This window comes from Homo sapiens, chromosome 16, assembly GCF_000001405.40.
Source record: "Homo sapiens chromosome 16, GRCh38.p14 Primary Assembly".
NCBI lineage: Eukaryota > Metazoa > Chordata > Mammalia > Primates > Hominidae > Homo > Homo sapiens.
This window is the reverse complement of record NC_000016.10, coordinates 50,629,349-50,650,181: the sequence shown is the minus strand read 5'-3', so window position 1 is coordinate 50,650,181 and position 20,833 is coordinate 50,629,349. Positions and strand designations below refer to the sequence as shown.

At 51.4% G+C, this 20,833-nt stretch overlaps 1 protein-coding gene across 1 annotated transcript in view, besides 2 other annotated features; it reads right to left on the bottom strand.

Moving 5' to 3' along the window:
* Nucleotides 1–932: 932 nt before the first annotated feature.
* NKD1 (NKD inhibitor of Wnt signaling pathway 1) overlaps nt 933–20,833 on the bottom strand; it is a 100,854-nt gene continuing 80,953 nt past the window's right edge. Inside the window, exons 7-10 of the mRNA NM_033119.5 lie at nt 19,849–19,996; nt 19,272–19,356; nt 17,774–17,901; nt 933–16,990 (exon numbers count right to left, since the gene is read on the bottom strand). Of these exons, the coding sequence (NP_149110.1) occupies nt 16,401–16,990; nt 17,774–17,901; nt 19,272–19,356; nt 19,849–19,996 (951 nt within the window). The 3' untranslated portion in view covers nt 933–16,400. The remainder of the gene's footprint in view (nt 16,991–17,773; nt 17,902–19,271; nt 19,357–19,848; nt 19,997–20,833) is intronic.
* Nucleotides 3,102–3,620: an enhancer, noted in NCBI's record as "H3K4me1 hESC enhancer chr16:50680473-50680991 (GRCh37/hg19 assembly coordinates)". NCBI's record gives its function as "activates a minimal SCP1, AML or CMV promoter by ChIP-STARR-seq in primed H9 embryonic stem cells {active_cell/tissue: H9 hESC(primed)}" and the evidence as "EXISTENCE:reporter gene assay evidence [ECO:0000049][PMID:30033119]".
* Nucleotides 6,592–6,746: a silencer, noted in NCBI's record as "fragment chr16:50677347-50677501 (GRCh37/hg19 assembly coordinates)". NCBI's record gives its function as "represses an EF-1alpha promoter that drives an FKBP-Casp9 reporter gene in an ReSE screen in K562 erythroleukemia cells {active_cell/tissue: K562}" and the evidence as "EXISTENCE:reporter gene assay evidence [ECO:0000049][PMID:32094911]".

Below are 20,833 nucleotides of genomic sequence, written 5' to 3'. Positions count from 1 at the left end.
TGCAACCTCCGCCTCCCAGGTTCAAGAGACTCTTCTGCCTCAGCCCCCCGAGTAGCTGGGATTACAGGCACCTGCCACCATGCCCAGCTAATTTTTTGTATTTTTAGTAGAGACGGGGTTTCACCATGTTGGCCAAGCTCGTCTTGAACTCCTGACCTCAGGTGATCCACCCGTCTCGGCCTTTCAAAGTGCTGGGATTATAGGTGTGAGCCACTGCACCAGGCTGGTTTTTTGTTTTTTGTTTTTTTTTTAACAGAGTCTTGCCCTGTCTCCCAGGTTGGAGTGCAGTGGTGTGATCTCTGCTCACTGCAAACTCCACCTCCTGGTTCAAGCGATTCTCCTGCCTCAGCCTCCTTAGTAGCTGGGATTACAGGGATGTGCAACCACGCCTAGTGATTTGTTGTATTCTAGTAGAGACAGGATTTCACCACGTTGCCCAAGCTGGTCTCGAATCCTGACCTCAAGTGATCCACCCACCTCGGCCCCCCAAAGTGCTGGGATTACAGGCATGAGCCACTGCACCCGGCCCAGATTGGCATTTTTAAAAGTGCTTTTTGTCTGCAGTGCGGGGACTGATGGGAGACAGCATGGCCAGTGGAGGAACCGTCCCCAGGCTGGGGAGAGCCGACAGGACTCTCTGCTAGGGTATGGAGGGGATGGGTAGAGTGGAAAAGGTCTCAGTAACTGGAGTGATGAGGGAAAGAGGAGTCAAGGATGGCACCCAAGCTTCTGGTCTGGGTTACTTGTTGGATTGTCTTGCCATCTGCTGAGCTAGGAGCAGGTTTTGGGGTAAGATGATGAGTTTGTTTTGAGGCATGTAGTTGGGACTCGTTGGCAGCAACCTAGAGACAGTCATGGCAGTGGACGAGATCCCAAGAAGTGAGTCCACGGAGAAGGCCAGGCAGCCAGCACTGAGATCTGAGCAACGCCACTATTTTTAAAATTTTTTTATTTTGAAATAATTATAAATTATCAGAAAGTTGCAAACAAAGCCCAGTCAGGTCCCATGTACCAGTTTCACTGCCACCATCTTTAAAGGAGGATTAGACGAATCTGACTGCTAAAAGTGGCCCAGGGATTCTGGAGAAAATCCAACAGGTTTGCTATCAGGAAAGCAATTTCACTTACAATTCAGGTTTGACTGCAAGTGAAAGTGGTTGAAACAAGTGAGAAGTTGATTGCTTCCTCATATAATAGTCTAAATGTAGGTGTCCAAGCCTGGAATAGAGGTCCTGGTCCTCTAAGTTCTCAGGAACACAGGCTTCTTTTAGCCACTCCACATCTCTAGGGTGTTGTCCTCATGGTCCAAAATGGTGACTGGAATTCCAGCCATCACATCTGCTTTCCAGGCAGCAAAATGGAAGAAGGGGCACAGAAGAACAGAGATGACAATAGGTATAAACAAGCTCTCTTTTTAAAGGAGATTCCCAGGAGCTGCTACATGACACTTACTGTTGACTAGAGTTTAGTCACAAAATTTATTTGCGAAGGAGTCTGAGAACTGTAGTCTTTATTCTTGGGCTCAAAATCAGAGGCTGTATTACAAGGAAGAAAGAGTGTATTCAGGGGAGCAACTAGCTTCCTGTGCACAGAATCCAAGGGCAGAGGGTGTTCTGAAAGGGGGGATGTGTCAGTATCACAAAAACAATCAAGAAGTCAAGAAAGGTAGCAATGAAATGCCCAGTGGATTTAGGGGCAAGAAAGTCCAGTGGCAACTTGGTGAGGATGATGGCAATTATCCATCTGACCCCAGAACCCTTGATTCTGAGTGCCTAATGTTTTCCAGAGTCAGCTTTTGTCTAGTGGATGGGGCAGAAAGACAGAGGTGTTGGAGTTGAGGGTGTTGGACCAAGAGTGCAAATCCAGGCCACAGGTGACAGTACAGCGGCAGGAAGTGGAAATGAGGGAATGAAAGGGACTCTAGGAAGAGCCAAGAGGGACTGACTGTGAGAAGGACAGGAATGAGGACAGAAGGAGACAGCAGAGTGTGTGGCTTCCATGGTGTGGCATTTCTGGGTTCACAGTGGGGCCCAGGAGTGAGTGGCTATAGAAGAGAGAAAAGGAGGCCTTCCTGGTGGTGGGGGCCATAACACTGAGAGATCGGGGTTCAGACACCTGCGGAAATCACCCAGGTTGCTGGCAGGGTGTCAGGTAGAGGTGGACGCTGAGCCTCTGTGGAGTTTTCCCAGTTACTTCAACACCACTCCCAACTTTGCTGCCAAAAGAGCCTGTTTAATGTTCTTGTGGTTGACACCTGCCCCAAACCCTGAATGGTTCCCCCATGGATTCTCAGGAAATGTCCAAACCCCTCACCTTTTCCTTTGAGGTCCTTCTATGATCACCTGGGATGGGTTATGATGCTTTCAACTCTAAGCAACAGGAACCCCAAGTAACAGACACTGCCTGTGCCTGGCTTGTATCCCCTGTAGGAATCATTTCTGTTTGCTGGTCCAATTTCCGACTGCCAGTACCTGCAATTCTGCTGAAGCCTATGCCTATGCACAGAAATAGCCCTTGACCAATGACTGACAAGGATGGGTGGGTAAATACCTCAGCTCCCTCCCTGTGCAGGTGGGATAACTCTGAGGTATGTTCCACGTGGGCTCCTGGAGTGGAACTTCCCTTCCTTTTCTGCCTCACTTCCCCACTCTCCTCCCTGTCTTTCCCAGGACCACCTCAAAATCAACAACCTGCTCCTGAGTCTTCATCTCAGGATCTCCTCCTGAGAAAAACCAAATAACTAAAGTACAGATGCTGGGTGGCTGCCAGGTCATGTATAAGTGCTTGCTCAACATCATTCCCAAGGACCCAGCACTCTCTGTGTGTGCTCTGTGGTCCTCAGGCTGTAGCAAGATGGCCACTACCATGACATGTTACAAGTTCCTCAACAGACTTCCCTTCAGATCTCATTGCCCAGAATAAGGTCACACATGATCTTTCCTGAATCAGTCACTGGCAAAGGTGAGGACTTTGCCATGTCTGGCTTAGACGAATCACCTATGGACAGAAAGGATGATGGGGTCAACTACAGAGACCACACCACCATCCCATCATGTCTTCTAGTATGACTCTACCACTGTAGATATGTAATATAGTGAAAAGAAAGAGCTGGTTGATGCTGCTTGCCAACCAGCTGTGTGTTCTCACGATCTCACATTCATTCATTCATTCATTCAACATGCACATATTGAATGTTGACTGTGTCCCTGCTAGTTACTGGGGCTGGGGATGTGGGAGACAAGAAAAGCACAGAGGGCTGAATGTGGTGGGGTCTGGGTGGCAGAGGCATGACCCTGGGGATATCCTGACCCAGCTGTTTTGCCATCTGAAATGTCCCACCCCACTGTCTTCCCTTCAGGATCATACCTGCCCCCTAGAGCCCCTCTCCTCCAGGAGGCCTTTTCTGATTTTCCCAAACCAGGGGGTCCCATCCTGCCTTGGAGCCCCCTTGGGTGTTCCAGGGTGTTGTTCTGGGCTGACACTGCCTTGGCTGGCTCTGAAGTGTCCTTTCATGCCCATTACGAGTGACAGTGTTCTTGTTTTCCCCATTAAGGCTCCTAGAGGGAGGGCACTGTGTCCCCAGGGCCTGAGCCACAGCCAGGCAGCTCAACCCTGCAGGGCTGACCCACAGCCTGGGTGGACCCGCCCGGCCCCAGTCCCTGCCTCCCAGCACCTGCCACAAGGCCGCCTCCTCCCCACGCCATGTCTCCCATCAATTTCTTCTTTCATAAAAATCAATTTCTGTCCCGTTTTTGCCATGTACATAAAAGACTGTGGCATCAGTTAGCCTTCGTTCTCTCTCCCCCCCCCCTCTTTTTCTTCCTCGTCTTTTTTGGAAACCTCTTTGTAGGGAAAATCTCATATTTCAGCAATTTGCATTATCCACACACTCAGCTTTGAAGTTCTAAGTTATGGTAAGAAAAGGACCCACTTATCTGCCCATAAAAAATGTTCAAAGCTTATAAATTCCCTGAAACAGATGTACATTATCATTGGATTTGCCTTTCTTTTTGCTAGAGCATGCCTAATAGAGTTTCGGCCGCCCCCTGGCCCCCTTCCCCCGCCCCCGTTAGCATCTTGTCTCCACAGAAGCCCGCTCCCCACTGGGCCAGACCGACTTCAAAGGTCCCAGGCTGTCTGTTAGAAGCAAAGCACAAAGTGGGAACATAGGGGCCTTTTAAATCCCCCACGTTTAAGTCAATATCATGCCTCCCTCCTTTCCCCTCTCCTGGCAGAGGGACATAAGTCAGCCCTTCCCTTTCTGCCTTCACGAGAGCCAATTCAGCAACTACCAGAGAGAGGAAATTGGGGCCTCTTTCTCTCCCAGTCTCTCTGTCTTTGCCCTTTCTTTCTTGCCAACTTTTCTTTTTGTTCTTTCCCTCGCTTAAGAAGATGTTCGGCAGCACGGAAGGTAGTGCTGATCCCACATGTAAGCAAGCAAGCGGATCCTTGAGCGCTTTCATGGGTAAGAACGTCATAAACAACGTGCATCCATTCGGTTGCCGTGGGATCCTACCAAGAGAGCCTCCTCTCCGGGCTACTGTTTCCAATCCCTTCTCTGCGTGGTGGTGGCTAGAGTGTCACATCCTCTCTCTCCCGACTGACCACCTAGCTTCCTGATGTGTCTCTTGGGGTGACAAGCAGACTCTCCACCATTCAGGCCCCCAGATTCTGCCCATACCGGGCCTCCTCGTTGCCAGCTGTACCCGGCCATACAGGCCTGCACCAGTTCATCAAGCGTTCACCCTCCATCCACCCTTGAGGCCCTTGTACCAGCTGCTCCCTCTAACTTTCCACCTGGCTAATTCTTCCTCACCCTTGAGGTCACCCCCTAAATGTGGCTTCCTGGAGAGTCCCTCTGCAGTCCCCCATCTCCATCATGTCCCCTCTGTTATTCCCTCCCATGTCTCCCCAGAAGTTATCGCAGTGGATAAAAATGTCGTTTCTGGGTGGAAGCAGTCCCCCCGTCCCCCACACTAGATTAAAGCTCCACAAAGGTAGGTAGAGATGATGTCTGTTTTATCGAGTGCTGAGCATGGTTCCTGACACATAGTACTTGATCACTAAATCTTTGAAAGTACGGATGAACAGAAAGCCTGGAGATGACGGTGGTAAAGGCCAGCCAGGCCTGAGCAGGTCCTTTCTGGGCAGGAAGTGCCAAGTGTGGGTCTCTCTTTGCTCTGCCCACGTCTTGCCCAGAAGCTCAGTTTTGGCAGCTCCTTGCCACTGGGGGGTGGTCACACCACAGAGACTGGCCTGCAGTCTAACTAAACTGCTTAGCAAGACGGGGTGAGATACTCGAATGCCAAATTCTTTCTCCCCAGTGAAGAAAGGAGGGAGGAGGGAAGGAAGGGAAGGCGGGAAGTTCACATGCACCACACTGGAAATATTCTGGCCAGGAATTTCTGGACCAAATCACAATCAGATGCTGCCTTTTGAGGACAGAGTCAGAGGAAACAGAATCAGGTGATGTTGGCTAAGATGGCCAGGGGCCCATCTGGAGAGGATCTGGCCAGGGGACTTGAGCCACTCAGAGTCACCCTGGGCCCCAGTACCTAGATGTGCTGAGAGCCCACAGGCCGAGCCCAGTGACACCATCTGAATATCCCCAGGAGGTTCTGGGTTTCCAGTCTGTCTGCATGCTGTCACCCTTCTCTGGGGGCAGCATCAACATTCCAACAACTCTCAGCATCAGGAACCCGCAAGAGGGGTGCCCCTTTTCCCATCTGTCTTTATGAATTCTATCAACAAAGACACATGGAGTGTCAACAGCAGGCCATGTGCTAGGTCCCGCTGGGGGCGGGTGGGGAGGCCAGGAATGTGTTGTCCTTCAGTCGCTCAACAGACATTGAACAAGCACCTGTCTTTGCTGGGCCTTTGGGATTATAAGATAATCTGGTGAACAAGTGCTTTGGTGGAAACCAAATAATTAGAGGCATAGATAAGTACATACGGTGGATCCTCACCCTCCGTGGATTCTGTATTTACGAAATTGCCTATTCACTAAAATTTGTCTATCACCCAAAATCAATACTCATGGTGCATTCACTTCATTCGTGATATGCGCAGAGCAGTGAAAAGTCTGAGTGGCCCGACAACATGTTCTCAACTGAGGTCGAACAAGATGATGCTCTGCTTTCGTGGTTCAGTTCTCATCCTATACACAAACATCCTTCTCACAGTCTGTTTAGCATCATGCTTTGTGCATGTTTGTGCTTTGTGTTGGTGATTTGGCTGCTTAAAATGCTCCCCAGGCATGACGCTGAAGTGCCATCTTGTGCTCTTAAGCACAGAAGGCTCTGATATGCCTTGCAGAGAAAATATGTGTGCTAGATAAGCTTCATTCAGTCATGAGTTATAGAGCTGTTGGCTGAGTTCAATGTTAACGAATCAAGAATATATAGTAAATTAGGCATCTTTAAACAGAAGCACACATAAAACAAGGTTATGCACTGATTGGTAATGAAAATGTTGTGACCAGAAGCTGGCAGGAACCTAACCCTGTATTTCCCCTAGGATCAGTAGTTCAGTATGCGCTAACTCAGTGTCAGAGGTGACTTTATAAGATGTAACTACTGCGATGAGTGAGAATCAACTACAGTTACAAACATGATCAATGTTATGAATGAAGGGGACCACAGGGCACCCTGAGAGCTTGGGGCACCATCTTGCTGAGGCTGAGGTCTCGGCCACACCAGCAGCCCCAGCTCCCCTTGCCTCACGTGTCCCTGGACTTGGCTGGAGTAATGGCAGACAACGGAGTAGGACTGGTCTTTGTCAACCTGTATCAATGCCAGCAGGCTCCTGGAAAGGGAGGGTCATGTGGCTAGCATATGTCAGGCTTATGTTTAATCCTACCATGCATTAGCCACAAGTTAGGTAAGTTGCTTAACTGAACTGTAACTCTGTTTCCTCGTTGGTTTCCTCTCAAGGCTGTTTTGAGGACACTAGTGAATGTGGGCTGGGTGCACAGTAGGCACTCTGTAAGTGGCAGATATGGCAATGTGGACTCCTCAGCGATCCTGCAGCTTAGGAGTTGGGCAAGGACAGACCCAGATGTAGGGTAGCGAAGCATTGCTCCAGAGGCCACCTCTTTCCCCAAGGAAGGCACTGCTGGCATGGCTTTCAGGCTGCCCATCCCCACCACTACCCCTACTGTTTGTAGGACTTAGAGCTGCCACCCCCATAGTCTAGCTTCAAGCCAAGGGCAGTTTCATAATACAAATATGGTACTGAAGGCCAGAGACAGCAGGGGCTTGTCCAAGTTCACACCACAAGTCGGGTCTGGAAGGAACAGAGTGATCCCATCAAACTTGAGAGGGAAAAGTCATGTCCTCAAGTGTTTTTTGAGTGTGTAGCAGAGGCAGCATGCCACAGCAGCTGTCTCACTGGGGGCTCTGCAGCCGGGGTGGAGGACAGGTACCCTTCATCCATCAGGACTGCACCTCCTTTCCCATGAGCCTTCTGGGGTCACATTCTCCTAACTGCAGCTACTGTTGCTGTTTTACTTATCGAGGGCCTATTACGTGCCAGGCTCTGCGCTGAACGCTTCACGCCCACTGGATCATTTACTCATAACAGCTCAGTAAGGTAGTTACCCCAATTAGCCCCATGTTAGAGAAAAACACCAAGGCACAGAGGTGAGTCACTTGTCCCAGGTCACACATCTAGGAAGTAGTAGAACCAGGACTCAGCTCAGGTCCAAAGTCTCAACCATGGGCCAGTCTGCTCATCTTAGCCAAACCCCCAGGCTGCATTCTGTGGTCCAGCTACTGGATCCTGCAACCTTCTCAGACTCTATCCATGAAGCCAAGTGCACAGGATCTAGGACATCAGGTCCAGAGAATTTGGGGCCACATCTTCCTGGACCTGCAGATGGGCAAGGACCAGACTCTAGCCTGAACAGTGAGATGCAGCCCAGAGAAGTGGGAATCCACAGACAGAGCCTGGCCTGAGACTCCTACTGAGACTGCCCATGTGGCCACTCGGGGAGTTCCCGTCCCCTGCCTGATCAGCAGTCTTTTTGCTTCCCCCTCCAAGAGAGCTGGGGGGCATTCCTCCAGGAAGCCTGATATGTAACAAACTCCTTTCCCATTTCTTGCTTTGCTTAAATCTCCAAAGTCCCTGGAGCTGAAGCCAAGCGGGCCTCATTAGGTCCACTTTACAGAAAAGCAAACTGAGTCTCAAAGAGGGGAAGTCACTGAGCCGGGTACAATCCAGCCAGTCTTTTGAGTTGGGGCTTTCCACCTGTCTTGGCTGTTTAAGGAGTGCTGGGCGGGGTCTCACACAGCCTGGGACCCTTTGCTGGGGGTTCCAGCCCACCTTGCCCCATCTAAAGGAGGAGTGGGGCCACATTGTGAGGGTCTCCAGGACTGCCCCAAAGACTTCCCCATGAAAGTCCTCCCATGCCTGAAGCTGCTCCCTTAGCCATCCTCCTGTCTAACGCTCTGCCCTGAACAGGTTTTTAAGTGGCATCACTGACCTCCAAAACTTAGGTGCTTGAGGCTGCGCAGGGGTCATGAGCTGAATCGCATCAAAGCCAGGCCTCAAAATCAGGCTGAGAGGGGCTCCGGGCGCAGGAAAAAAGGCATGTGCACCATTGGAAGAGGCGGGCGGATTGCAGCCATGTGGGAACAGGAGCCTGGGGTAAACCCACTTTCTGATTTTTATGAGAAAAGCCAAACATCCAGGTTTTTAGGTGAAACCCTCAGATTTTGGAAATTAATTAAAAATTTTTGAAACCCTTGATGGGTCAAACATGACACATCGATGGGCCAGGCTAGGTACGGTCCCGGTGAGCAGAGGATTGACTTCTGGAGGCTTAGAGTGGGCAGGGGACAGGAAGGCAGGGCAGAGTTCCAGACTCCACAGCTTCCTGGGGAGTGTGGCTCTGAGCAAGTTGGCCTCAGGCCCACTCCAACCCCTCTACCAGGCACCAAGAGACATAGTTCAGCCCCGACCATTGAACTGGCCATGACAGGCCTGCTGATACAAGCAGACCACCCCCGCCAATGGCCTCTGTGGAGTTACTGACCAGTGTTGGAGGTTGCAGAAGCCCCCTCTCCAGACATCAGAGCTGTCAGCCTCCCCCAAGTCCTTTGCAGACAGCTGAGGCCATGACTGGAAAAAGGACCTGCAAGCCGGTCTGCGCTCAGCTTTGGGAAGAACTGTCCATTTGGACTCCACACCCCCACCTGGAGTCTCAGGTCTCCCGTCTCTAAAATGGGAAGAAAAATTCTAGCCCTACTACAATGTGTGGCTGACCAAACTTTCACTGATTTCCAAGGAAAGAAAACAAAACAAAAACAAAGACAACATAATGAGGTTGTTTTTTTTTTCTTTTTAACTTCTTTTGGTTTTTCTTTAAACAGTAAGGGACTGCAATTTTCTATTCTTTTTCTAATATCCTTATTTAGCAAAATTAAAAGTTGGCGATGATGTGTTGCTTTCCCAGACTTTTATTTGAAATGTGACTGCTTTGTAAAACTCCAGAGTCAAGGACTCATAGGCAGGAGGATGTCATAAATTAACAGGAAAGGATGAGAAATCTCCACTCCACTCCCTCCTCCCTCCCTTGATCACTCATTCCCTCTCTTCCATTCATTAACCACCCACTACATGCCATGCCCTAAGGAAGCAGCTATCTAAGAAGTCCCTGCCTGCAGGGGCTTTACAGACCAGGAGGAAGGCAACCCATAGAGCCAGGATCCTGATAACCACTGCTGACTGCCCCTCTGCCTAGGCACCAGCTAAGGTGGCTCCAAAAAGTGAGGCCTTGTTGGGAAGGGAAAAAACAGCAAAGGTCAGCTTGGATGAACCCATCCAGAATTTTGCAATCAGAAATACCTAGAAAAGAATTATTTTAGAAGAACAGGGGGATGCCAGGGCTTGGGGATGAGGAATGATGTTTTCAGTGCTTAGGGCCCCTGAAGGTCTTGGTCTTCCTGCTCAGAAGCGCAGGGGGTCCCAGGTTGCCTTCTCCAGTGCTCGCCCTTAGTTCCTGGCAGTTCCTCCAAGGCTGTTGTACTTTAGTCCTTCTTCTAATCCTTGAATGCTCCTCCCTACCTACCTCTCTCCCTGATGTAGAGGCTGGGGAAGAGCTCTCTGAAGGGTATGACCAGATGTGACCCCAAAACAAACCCTACTAGGGGAAGGACAGGGCCCCCATAAGCTTGGAACCAAGCCTGAGTTTGCAGTACAGCAAAATGAGACAGCTGGTAGTCGCAACAAGCCCTAGTCCCCAAAGCTGGCCTTGACCAAGGACCCCCAAGCAAAGTGGGAAGACTGGGAAGAGAAGTTTTCAAGAAAGACATTCATATCTCCCTAATTTCAGACCGTAGTCCTGAGCCAGAGGAGGGAAGAGAGTGTGTGGTCCATGCACCAGGGGCCACTGTGGACCCACCCTAGTTGGAGGACCTTAGGGGTCTCACTAAATGTGGCCATCTTTCGCCATCTGTAATTTTAGGATGAGGGAGGAGAGGTGGGTTATCCAGAGGCCAGATGACAGGGCAACTAGAGAAAGAACTCAGCCCAAACACAGAGGGCTCTTACTAAATCCGCCAGCCTCATCCTCTGCTGCAGCATGGCTGCTTGCTCTAACATCCATGAAGTTTTTGGAGGTCCCCGGTGGGGCAGGGGGCAGGTGGAGCTGTCTCTGTCTCCCCTACCACGTTAATGCACATCCTCCTCAAGGCAGGGCCACTGGGATTCCACCCCACGTGCACCAAGGCACAGGCAACAGGACTCTCAGAATGTTTTCTACGGGCCCAACCACAACACCATTTCCTGGAGGTATGGAGCTTGTGAAAAACACTGATCCCTGCACTTCACCCCTGACCCACCTCAGCTCATCTCTGGGGGTGGGCCTGGTATCTGCATTTCACATGCTCCCTGGGGGATTCTTACGGCCCCTGAAGTTAGGCATTTCCCTCAAATCGGGCCCTCTGAGGTCATTTGGGGGAAATTGCAAGGCTCTAGGGGCTTAGCTGGGCTGCCTAAGAAGTCACCTGGGGGCCTGAAACATCATGATGCCTGGGCCACACCCCAGACCCACCACTCAGCATCATCAGAGGTGGGACCCCTGCACCAGTATTTTGTGAACTCTCCCCAGGTGATCCCAAGCATTCAGGGGATGAGAATTACTGGTGTGAGCATCCCCTCTGCCTCCCCGACCCATTGCCAACAGGCTGGTCAATGCCAAAGTCATGTCTAAAGGGCCTCATGTCTAGATAGGGATCTGTGCCAGGCTCATGGGCTAAATGTACCAGGATTCTTCTACTTTGTGGGAGACAGTGGAGGGAAGAGGAATCCCATTGGCTGGTCAGCTGGAGACAGGGAGTCTCCAACAGGCTCTGCCATTTTCTCCCCAGGGTCCCCGTCTGCTACTGGCAAATGGGTCTCACCTATTCCCCCTTCTCATGCTGGAGGCAGATGCTAGGTATAGAAAGCCCTTTGTAGGGAAATACATAAATCAGGAAAATCATTTGGGGGTATGAGCCCCTGAGCAGAGGGTTGGGGTACAAACGACTGCTGGTTTGGGAGATGATGAGACCGAACATCAGATCAGAGCCCCACACAAAGGTCCTGACTGTGGCAAGTGATCAAACTTTTCATGACTGTTGAAGAGTGTCCTGAGCACAGGTTTTAGAAGTTAATAAAGCGTGTGGCTGAAACATCTGTCTTTGCTCTGCAAAATGAGGCCCTGCACACATCTGGAGAAGGGGTGCGTGTTGGGGGCTGGGTGCAGCTGGTCTGGGGAGGCCGAGGCAGGGGCCAGGAGGGTGGGTGCTGGCGTGTGGCTGGACAAGGGGCAGACTGCCTTGGGGTCTTTCGGGTGTGCAGCGACCAGATGTCTGCTGTGTGGCAGGTAGCACCATCTTTAACGAGGAGGTGAGGGTGGTGGGTAGAGAGCATTCACAGCCTGCTGGTACTGAGCACCTCTCAGGGGTCCCCTTTCATTCCTGAGAGCACTGACAGGCCTCACAGAAGCCAGGTTATTAGTGCTGGCATCTGACAGACACACCAAGATGCAGGCAGACTTCCCCTCCTCCTGCCACACTTCAGAGGCTGCCTTCCCTCTAGCCCAGTAATAATTCGAGGTCTAAACACTGAGAAAACGGGGCTGTAGGAGTGAAAGAAACTGCTCCTAGCTGTTTCCTTTGCCAAAAAGTGTAATTAGCATGGCTGGATGTGAAGTGCAAGAGTCCCCTAGGCTCCTGACCCCCGGGTACTCCCAGGAGATGACAGCAGGCCCCAGTAGCTGGGATCCTCACCTGGCTGTCTGCCTTAAACACACCCAGTCCTCGGTACCCAGTGACAGATCAGCAGAAATCGGCATCCTCTCACCAGGAGTCTCCCCAGGGGAACCCCCACGCTCAGAGCTCAGGGGATGGGGCAGTGGCAACTGCTCCTCTGGAATGGCCTTCAGAAGATTTGCAAACAAGACCAAACCTCTCACCCATACCAGCCTGCAGGAAAATGTGCTCAAAACCTCACCAGCAATCATGGTTTCCCCTTCTAATTTTCCCTCCTTCCTTCCTTCCAACCTTCCTTCCTCTCTCTTTCTTCTTCTTCCTTTGATTCCTCATTATTCAGTATAACCTCTTTATTTATTTGAGATGGAGTCTCACTCTGTCGCCCAGGCTGGAGTACAGTGGTGCAATCTTAGCTCACTGCAATCTCTGCCTCCCAGGTTCAAGCGATTCTCGTGCCTTGGCCTCCCGAGTAGCTGAGATTACAGGCACGCACCACCATGCCCAGCTAATTTTTTGTATTTTTAGTAGAAACGGGGTTTCACCATGTTGCCCAGGTTGGTCTCGAACTCCTGACCTCAGGTGATCCACCCACCTCGGTCTCCCAAAGTGTTGAGATTACAGGCGTGAGCCACCGTGCCCGGCCAGTATAACCTCTTTTAGAGGTCATGTACAATCTCATCAAAATTGAAATCACACTTGCTCTTGAACTCTGCAGTTCCACGTGGAAACTTTCTGTCGCCTGTGTTCCTGCCTGTGGGCACCGGGAGAGCTGTATGCAAGGACTCTCAGCACAGTGTTCGCCAGAGCCTGGGATGAGAGATGACCCTTATGACCACCAGGAGGGGATGGGGCAAGCTGGTGACAGCACCTCTAGTCACAGAAGGCTGAGCAGCTGTTAGAGAGAAGGGGGCAGAGCTCTATGACCTAGGGAGGGAGATCTCCAAATATATTCAGTTACTGAAAAAAATAGCATAAGTATGAACACTATGCTCCTTGTGTAAAAATAAAAGGGTGGGGTGGGAAGAGGATTAAGCAGTAACTGCAGGGTTCCCCCCCTTAAAAATAGATCCGAAATAAATATTGCAAAATGTCAGCATTTGTAAATTCTGGGTGGTAAGTTCATAGTTAATGTTACACAATTTTCTGTTTCAAACTTTGTGTTTGAAATACTTTAAAAATTAACAAAATGCATATGGGAAGATATAGAAATGCATTTATTCTGGTAAAGAACAGCTAACACTTTCATAGTGCTCACAAGGGACAGGCACTCTCATGATCCCTGCCTTTATAAAGGAGAAACTGAGGCACAGTATTTCAATTGAAGCACAGAGCTACAAAGAGGGAGTCAGGATTCGAACCTAGCAAACTGGCACCAAAGTCTGTGCTCACAACCCCTACATTACACTGAGGGGCCCTAGGCCACACCCAGAAAGTCGGCATCAGGGATGCTGGCAGGCCTGGGATGGAGGGAAGTTTACTTTTTACTGTACACCTTGTATATATACTATTTGAATCTTTTACATGTGCACATTACTATTTTTTTAAATAATGTTTTTAAAGTTGGGCAAGTCCCAGTTACCAAGAAGTAACAGAATCCTGACAGGTGTGGAGCTTAGGGAGGCAGAGGAACTGCTCTAAAACCAGTAGTCTCAACTCCGGGCTGGCCTCCAGGGTTGCAGCAATTCGGGGCCTGGGATGCCATTACTTCCTGTCCGATCTGCACCCCTCCCCTCCTGTCTTCCGGTACAGACCCCACCCCCTTGCGGCAGGTTGGCCACGTGACCCCATCTGGGATGTCATGATTGGTCCAGCTATGGGTACCAGATCGAAGCCCAGCCAAGCAGAATCCTGCCTTGGGCTTTACACTAACGGAAGGTCCTTTTTCTTATGGTTAGGGGACCCAGAAGGCCAGCAGCCAGGGTTCCCTGACAAAAGCATGTAGTTGAGTACAAGTTATCAATCCGAGGGACAAGAGGGAGGGACAAGAACCAGTCTCAGCTGCATTCACATCCTGGACCCTGTCATCTCAAAGCCAGTTCCCTCCCTGCCTTCCAACTTGGTTTCATTCACTTTGGATTGAGTTGCGTTCTCACTGAACAGAAACCCACAACCCAAAACAAGGGCAGCCCATGGCCGTGATTAAGCTCTGCACCAGTGGCGAAGGGATCGAGTGGGAGACCAGAATTCCAGCTCCGCCCTCTGTGCGGCCTCAAGGGAGTTATGAACTTCTGAGCCTTAGACATGCTTCCTGAGCTGCCACCAAGCTGCCTCATGGGGCTGTCCTAAGGATTAATGTATTAATCCAATCCCAGGCACATCAGTCATTAATAAAATTAAGAATACGGTGACAACTAAGCCCACTACCTTTGGAAGTAACTCCTTACTAACTACATTAAACCCAAACTCGAGGCTCTGGAAAAGAGAATGCCAGCTGGGAGACAAAACGGCAGAAAGGAAGGTAGCTGGAGTCACTTCTCCCTCTTGAGTCTCCCTAGATTCACTCTCCACTCTCCTCTCTGACCTGGGAACATGCCCGTGTGACCCACATCAACAAGCTCCCTTGGCCCGGTGGCTTCCAGCGGCCTCAGCCAATGGATTGAGGGGGCTGGGGGGCAGGAAAGCAGGTCAGGATATTAATTTCCCTGGAGGGTCCCCATGACTGGCTGCATCCTTTAAGCAAAGGTCACAGCTCCTTCAGGTGCCCCTCTCACTCCTCCAGCAATCCTCTGTCTGCTAAAGATAACTCCTTCCCCACTCAGGCCCAGGGGTGGGAATAGCGCCCCACACTGCTAGCCCCAGGGTTCTGCACTCTCATGGGAGGCTTAGCCCACACTTTGTAAATACTGCCTTTATTAAGCTCTGCTCAAATTACCCAATTTGAGTGTGTAATCTGCTTTTCTCTGAGACCCTGGCTAGCTGACTGGTTCTTTTTCAGGTTTCTCCAGGCTCTGGCCAGACAAAATCCTTCTCTGCAGAGGATGCTGCTCCAGGGTCCCAACTCTGGCCACAGTCCCCTTTTCCCACCAAGTTTCTGTACCCCAGCAGTTCTCTCCAAAATCCATCAGACCCCAAAACCCGAGAATGGACCTCTGATGAAAGCATCTGAGAGCCGTCCAGCCCCAAAAGGAGACAAGCAGGGTCACATCTGGGTTCCAGAAGCATCCAGGGAAGCAAACCACTGATTTATACACACCAGAAAAGATACCTGAGAGTGTATATTTATAGAAAGATACATAGAAATGGACAGATGGCATCTATCTATAGATACAGAAAGCTCTGTTAGAGAACCGTGTAGGTACGTATATATGTGCCACATCCTCCACCACAACCAACAGCACACAATTGCCTGGATCTTGGAAAACCACGCTTGTTTAAGTGGTTGGTTCCCTCCCTAGCAGTTTCCAAAATGAGAAGGATGGTCTCAGGGATAGTCCTTAAATACGTGTGTGTATCACTGTAAAGTAGAGAGAGAAGAAGGAGAAGGAAGAGAAGTGGATTTTCATGTCGTGCATGGCAGAAGAGATGGGACTCTTGGGGAAAAGGGCTTGATCCCACTGGAAAAGCATGAAAGACAACTCCAGAAAAGACAGCTAAGGTTTCTAGGTTGGGACATAAAAACACAACAGCAAGACGTTCGCACTCTGCAGTCCACTGAAATCCCTTGTAGCATATAACAATCAGTTAAGGGCAAAATAAAATCAGAATAATACTAAGAGGTAGCAGCTGTTTATCTTCTCGGAGATTTCGAGGGTCTCTGGAAGCCGGGCCAAGTAAGGGTGCTCTCCTGGAAGAGGCTGGGGTGGGGCAGAGTTGAGGCTAAGGGCTCCCTGGCTCTGGGAAGGGTGTGGGCTGATCCACATAGATGCTGCAGATCCCGAGCCCCGAGGGAGCCTCTGCCCATTACAGGCCACTCAAAACCAGAGTCATTTCCTGGGCTAGTTATGCAGTCCCCACAACATATAAATAAAAGTTTAGTTCTGTGTTTCCATAGATCTTCTACATGTAGGCTAGCTAAATATTAGTGGAGTAACAATAATTATTAATAACAATAATCATCATAATAACAATAATTAATAGAATAATAATGCCTTGTGGTGTCGGGGGTGGGGTCCTTCATATGGCAGGGTGGGGCCCTGGGGAGGGGCTCTATGTCTGGTAGAAGTGGTGGTAATGGTGGTGATGTTCATGGTGGTGGTGGTGCTCATGTCTCTGGACCGGCTGCCCGGCCTGGCTCTCATACACCACCAAGGCGGGCAGCTCCCGCAGGTGCTCCCGCCCCAGGACAGGGCCACCTGAGGCCAGTGGTGCCTGCAGGCCCCGGCAGCCCTGCTGGCTCTCCTTGGCTCGGTGCTTGTGCTTCTTGTGCCCGAGGGGGGCTAGGGAGGGGAGGAGGGCCGGGCTGGCAGCCAGGTGGGCGGAGGGGGACACCGCAGGGATGGCGGGTCCCAGAGGGGGCTTGTTTCTTGCCCCTCTGGCCACGTGGCCCACACCCACACTCTTGCCCTGGGCCTTGGGGGACCTCACAAAGTGCTTGCTCCCGTCCTGGGTGCCCCGGAGCCGTTGCTGGAGCTCTGAGACCTTGGCGATTGGGGTGTCAAGGAAGTGGAAGGAGGCCGGGTCCACGCCTTGGGGCTTTCGGTGTGGGATGTGGATGGCTTCCGGCTCATGGGAGCGAGATCGAGTGGGATTGGAGGTGCGGGGGGGCAGTTCTGACTTCTGGGCCACGGAAGGGGAGCCTAGGAACCAATTCAACAGACATTTAATGAGCACCTACTGTGTGCTGGGGCTTGCGCTATACCCCAGACATCACCCCCGCCCCCAGTTCTCCAAAACCAGAGCTACCCCCCAATGCCCTGACTGCCCCTCACTGCCTTGCAGGAAAACTCTCTGAAATGGAACTTTCCCATCTGCTAAGTGGGAAGAACTGGTTCTTTGGTAGGTCTTCAAAAATACTCTCCGAGAGGGAGCCGAGAAAGACAGATGGCAGCAGAGACCCCGAAAACTATCTAAGGTCACTGGGGCAAGAAAGAACTCTAAGTATATTGCTAAAAACATACAGAAGTAACTCATAGAGGAATTAAACATATGAAGAGAAAGGGGAGAAGGGAGTTGTGGGAGTGAAATTGAGCAAGAGGTCAACATATGTCAAGGCTGATAAAGACACAGTAGTGCTGTACTTAGGGAAACCGAGGTTCTTGCTGGAAGAAACAGCCAGGAGAGGTCAAAGTGGTTGCCCCGGGAACAGGGCTTGGGTGGGCTGGGATGGGGCACAAAACTGTTGTTTGTCATTGGGTGCTAAGCCTTTAGATACTATTGGATTTTGTTCGATTTCGTGCATGTATTACTTTAATTTTGAAACCATTTTTAACGTCACTTTCTCCAAGAAGTCTTTGACCTGTCCCATAATAGTTGTCTTACCGAAGCCTGGGGTAGCAGTGAACACCACCCGCACGGCCCGCCTGGCCCGTCCAGCCACGCCCTGCCCTCATCGCCCATTGCAGGGTGCTTGAGTCCCTTACCAGGCCCAAATTGGGACGTGTAGTTTTCTATCCCGGCGAGATCTAAGTAGTGGTTTCTCCTCTCGATGTTCTCATCTACGCAATGGTGGTAGCAGCCAGACTGCTCCAGGCGGCTGTCACCCTGGAACCTACGGCAGGGGAGGCAAGTGAGTGGGATAACACCAACCACCAGGTGGGGGCAAGCGCATAGGCTACTAGGAAGCCCCCAGAATGAACTCTGGACCCTTCATTCATTTCCTTCTTGGCCTTTGGAGAGGGTGGGGAGGAACAGTCCTCTATACGAACTGTGCCTCCATTTCCCTCCTTGCCGATGGAGAGACAGACCATAGACCACAGCCCACAGCCCGACCTCCCCGCAGCTTCTGGGAGGAGTGGACGGGGTTTTGCTCTGAACAGGTTCAAAGCAAACGTGAGAGGTTATTGGTCAACTTCTAGGAATGCCCCAGTGCCAGGCTTCAAGCCATATGTGCCCACTGCAGGTAGGCGGCCTAACCCCTGGCCTGGTTCCTCAGGGGGTGTGGGCAGCAGAATCCCCTTAAACTGTTGGGGTTGGGCCAGGCAGACCCCATGACCTGCCCTACGGCCCAGGATGGGCCTCACCAGTGTGTGAGTGTGTGTGTGCACATGCATGTGTGACTTACACAGTGTGCATGGAGGGGTGGGGAGAGATGCTGCCAGAGGCTTTCTTTTTCCCCTGCAGGGCTCGGGGCTCCCTAGCCCTCTCCTCCAAGGACCTCTTCGATCTGCTCCCTCCTGGCTTCCTTCCCACACAACACAGTACCACCTTCCCCCAGGATCTCTAGCCAGCCTGGGTCCCTCTGATTCTCAGCCCTGTCCCCACACCTGGCTGTGACCCTGCTTGAACTGTTTTTTCTTTCCCCTAGCGAGTACTAATCCAGCTCCGATCATTCCCTTACCATTTGCACACTAGAGGTTAACACAGCCTTATGCCTGCCGTGTTACTGTTGTTTACTCAATCCCTTTCTTTAAACAATCTCTCTTTCCTTTCCTCCCTTCCTCCCTTGCAGCTGAAGAAGTAACAGGTGAAAGGTAACTACAGCCTCATAATTCCTTATCCACCATTCTGAAGTCCAAAAAGCCTGAAAACTAAGAGTTTTCATAACCCACGTGGCAGCCAGGCCCACCCTAAAGGGATGGGAAGGTGTTTACGGTCTTTATCTCACTTAGTGTGAATATTCAGTCATCTCCCAGCAGAAACAGCAACACGTCAGAGCCTGATGCACTGCTGAGAGCACCTTTCCAAAGCCCAAAAAATGCTGACCTCCAGTCCTGTCTGCCCAAGATGTGTTCCATAAAAGGATGTGGACTACATGTAGTTATTTGTTAAGATTTTCATTTGATTTATGAGTCTGTGCATCAAAAGTGTTGGCTCCCTGAAGAGAACACAGACCAGAGCAAAACTTCCTGCTCTGAATCCTTCAGAAGCAGGTACACAGCTGGTGCTCAACATATGCTCATGTGCACCATGCCCACATACCTGAGCGGGGCTCGCTGCTTCTTCTCCCAGCTCCGCAGGTCCTCAGTGGGCTTGGTCTCTGCTCGGGGCCTTGCGCTCTGCAGGTCTGAGTCCGGCCCGAGAAGCACAGGAGACACCAGGTGAGCTGCCTGCTCCCACCCTCCCCAGGGCTGCCTGGCGTGCAGCTGCTTTGCAAGGCCACTGTGGGAGGGTTCCCTGAGCTGGGGCTAAATAAAGGGGTCTCAAGGCTACCTGCCCTGGACACATCCCCATCTAGCCTCACCTCCTCCCCCAGACTCCCCCTCCAGCCTCACCTCCTTCCAGCTGGCCTCAAGGCTTGCAGACGCCATGCTGCCCGTAACACCAGCCTTCACTCCAGCTGCATGGCTCTGCCTATATGAGGCCTCTCACCCAGAATCCCTTCCCTCCCCTTCCCACCCTTCCTCCTACCCTTTCAAGGACCCATTTGAACCCCACCTGTCCACAAAGCAGCTGCCCCAGAAAGCCCACAGGTTCCCTTCCGGCCCTCCCAGGAAGGCTCTGTTCCTTCCTGAGATGGGAGGACATTGTTTCCCAGGCTCAGCCCTGCAGCCCTCACCAGCCTGATTGACAAGGACGCTCCTCTTGCTCTGGCTGCCATCGGGGGCCACGGTGAGCTTTACCCGCAGCATCTTGCTGGATGTTGGGGAGTGGTTGACAGAGGAGTCCACCACCTCATAGATGGTGTGCAGCAAGCTGGTGATGTCCTGAATGGGAGGGAAGCGGAGACCCATGCAGGGTTTCAGTCACAGGGCCTTGAAAATACAAACCAGAGGGCCTGGTGGACGCTGCAGGCCTGAACCCCTCTGGCTGCCCCAAAGCAGATCTAAGGCAGAAACCTGGATGTCTGAGGTTCGTTTGGGAGGAGATCCTAGGAAGCAGAAATGAGGGAGCAGGGAGAGAGAACAGGAAAATCCCATAAGAGAAAAGGAAAAGGGCAGGTTACATCCAGGGACAACTGGGGCTCAGTCGCACTGGGGCCCTGGAGGGAGTGTGTGGAGCCCACCTTGGAACAGCCTCTTCTAGATAGAGGGAGGGTTTAGAAATGGACTCTCATTCCTCACTGCCTGAGAGCTCCCCAAGGATACTACTACATTCCCTGTACTTTGGATTTTTGTTTGTTTGTTTGAGATGGGGGTCTCACTCTGTCACCCAGGCTGGAGTGCAGGGGTGTGATCATGGCTCACTGCAGACTTGAACTCCCAGTCCCAAGCGATCCTCCAGCCTCAGCCTCCCTAAGTGTTGGGATTACAGATGTGAGCCATGAGCCACTGTGCCCAACCCTCCCTTGTGCTTTTGGGCTTCCCTGCAGGGGCCAAGCCAACTCCTTGTACCTGAGAAAGCTCTTACAGTGGGCACCATCCACCATGGCAGCAGGTGAACTTTGAGGTGGACCCAGGGAAAATGGAGTGGGGGCATCAACAGCATCTGCTTCGGGTTCGAAATGAAAAATGGAAAGGGAGATGTGTCCCTGCTATGGGCTAAACTGTGGCTCCCCACTCACTTGCAAATCCACAGGTTGAAGCCCTAACCCCCAATGTGAT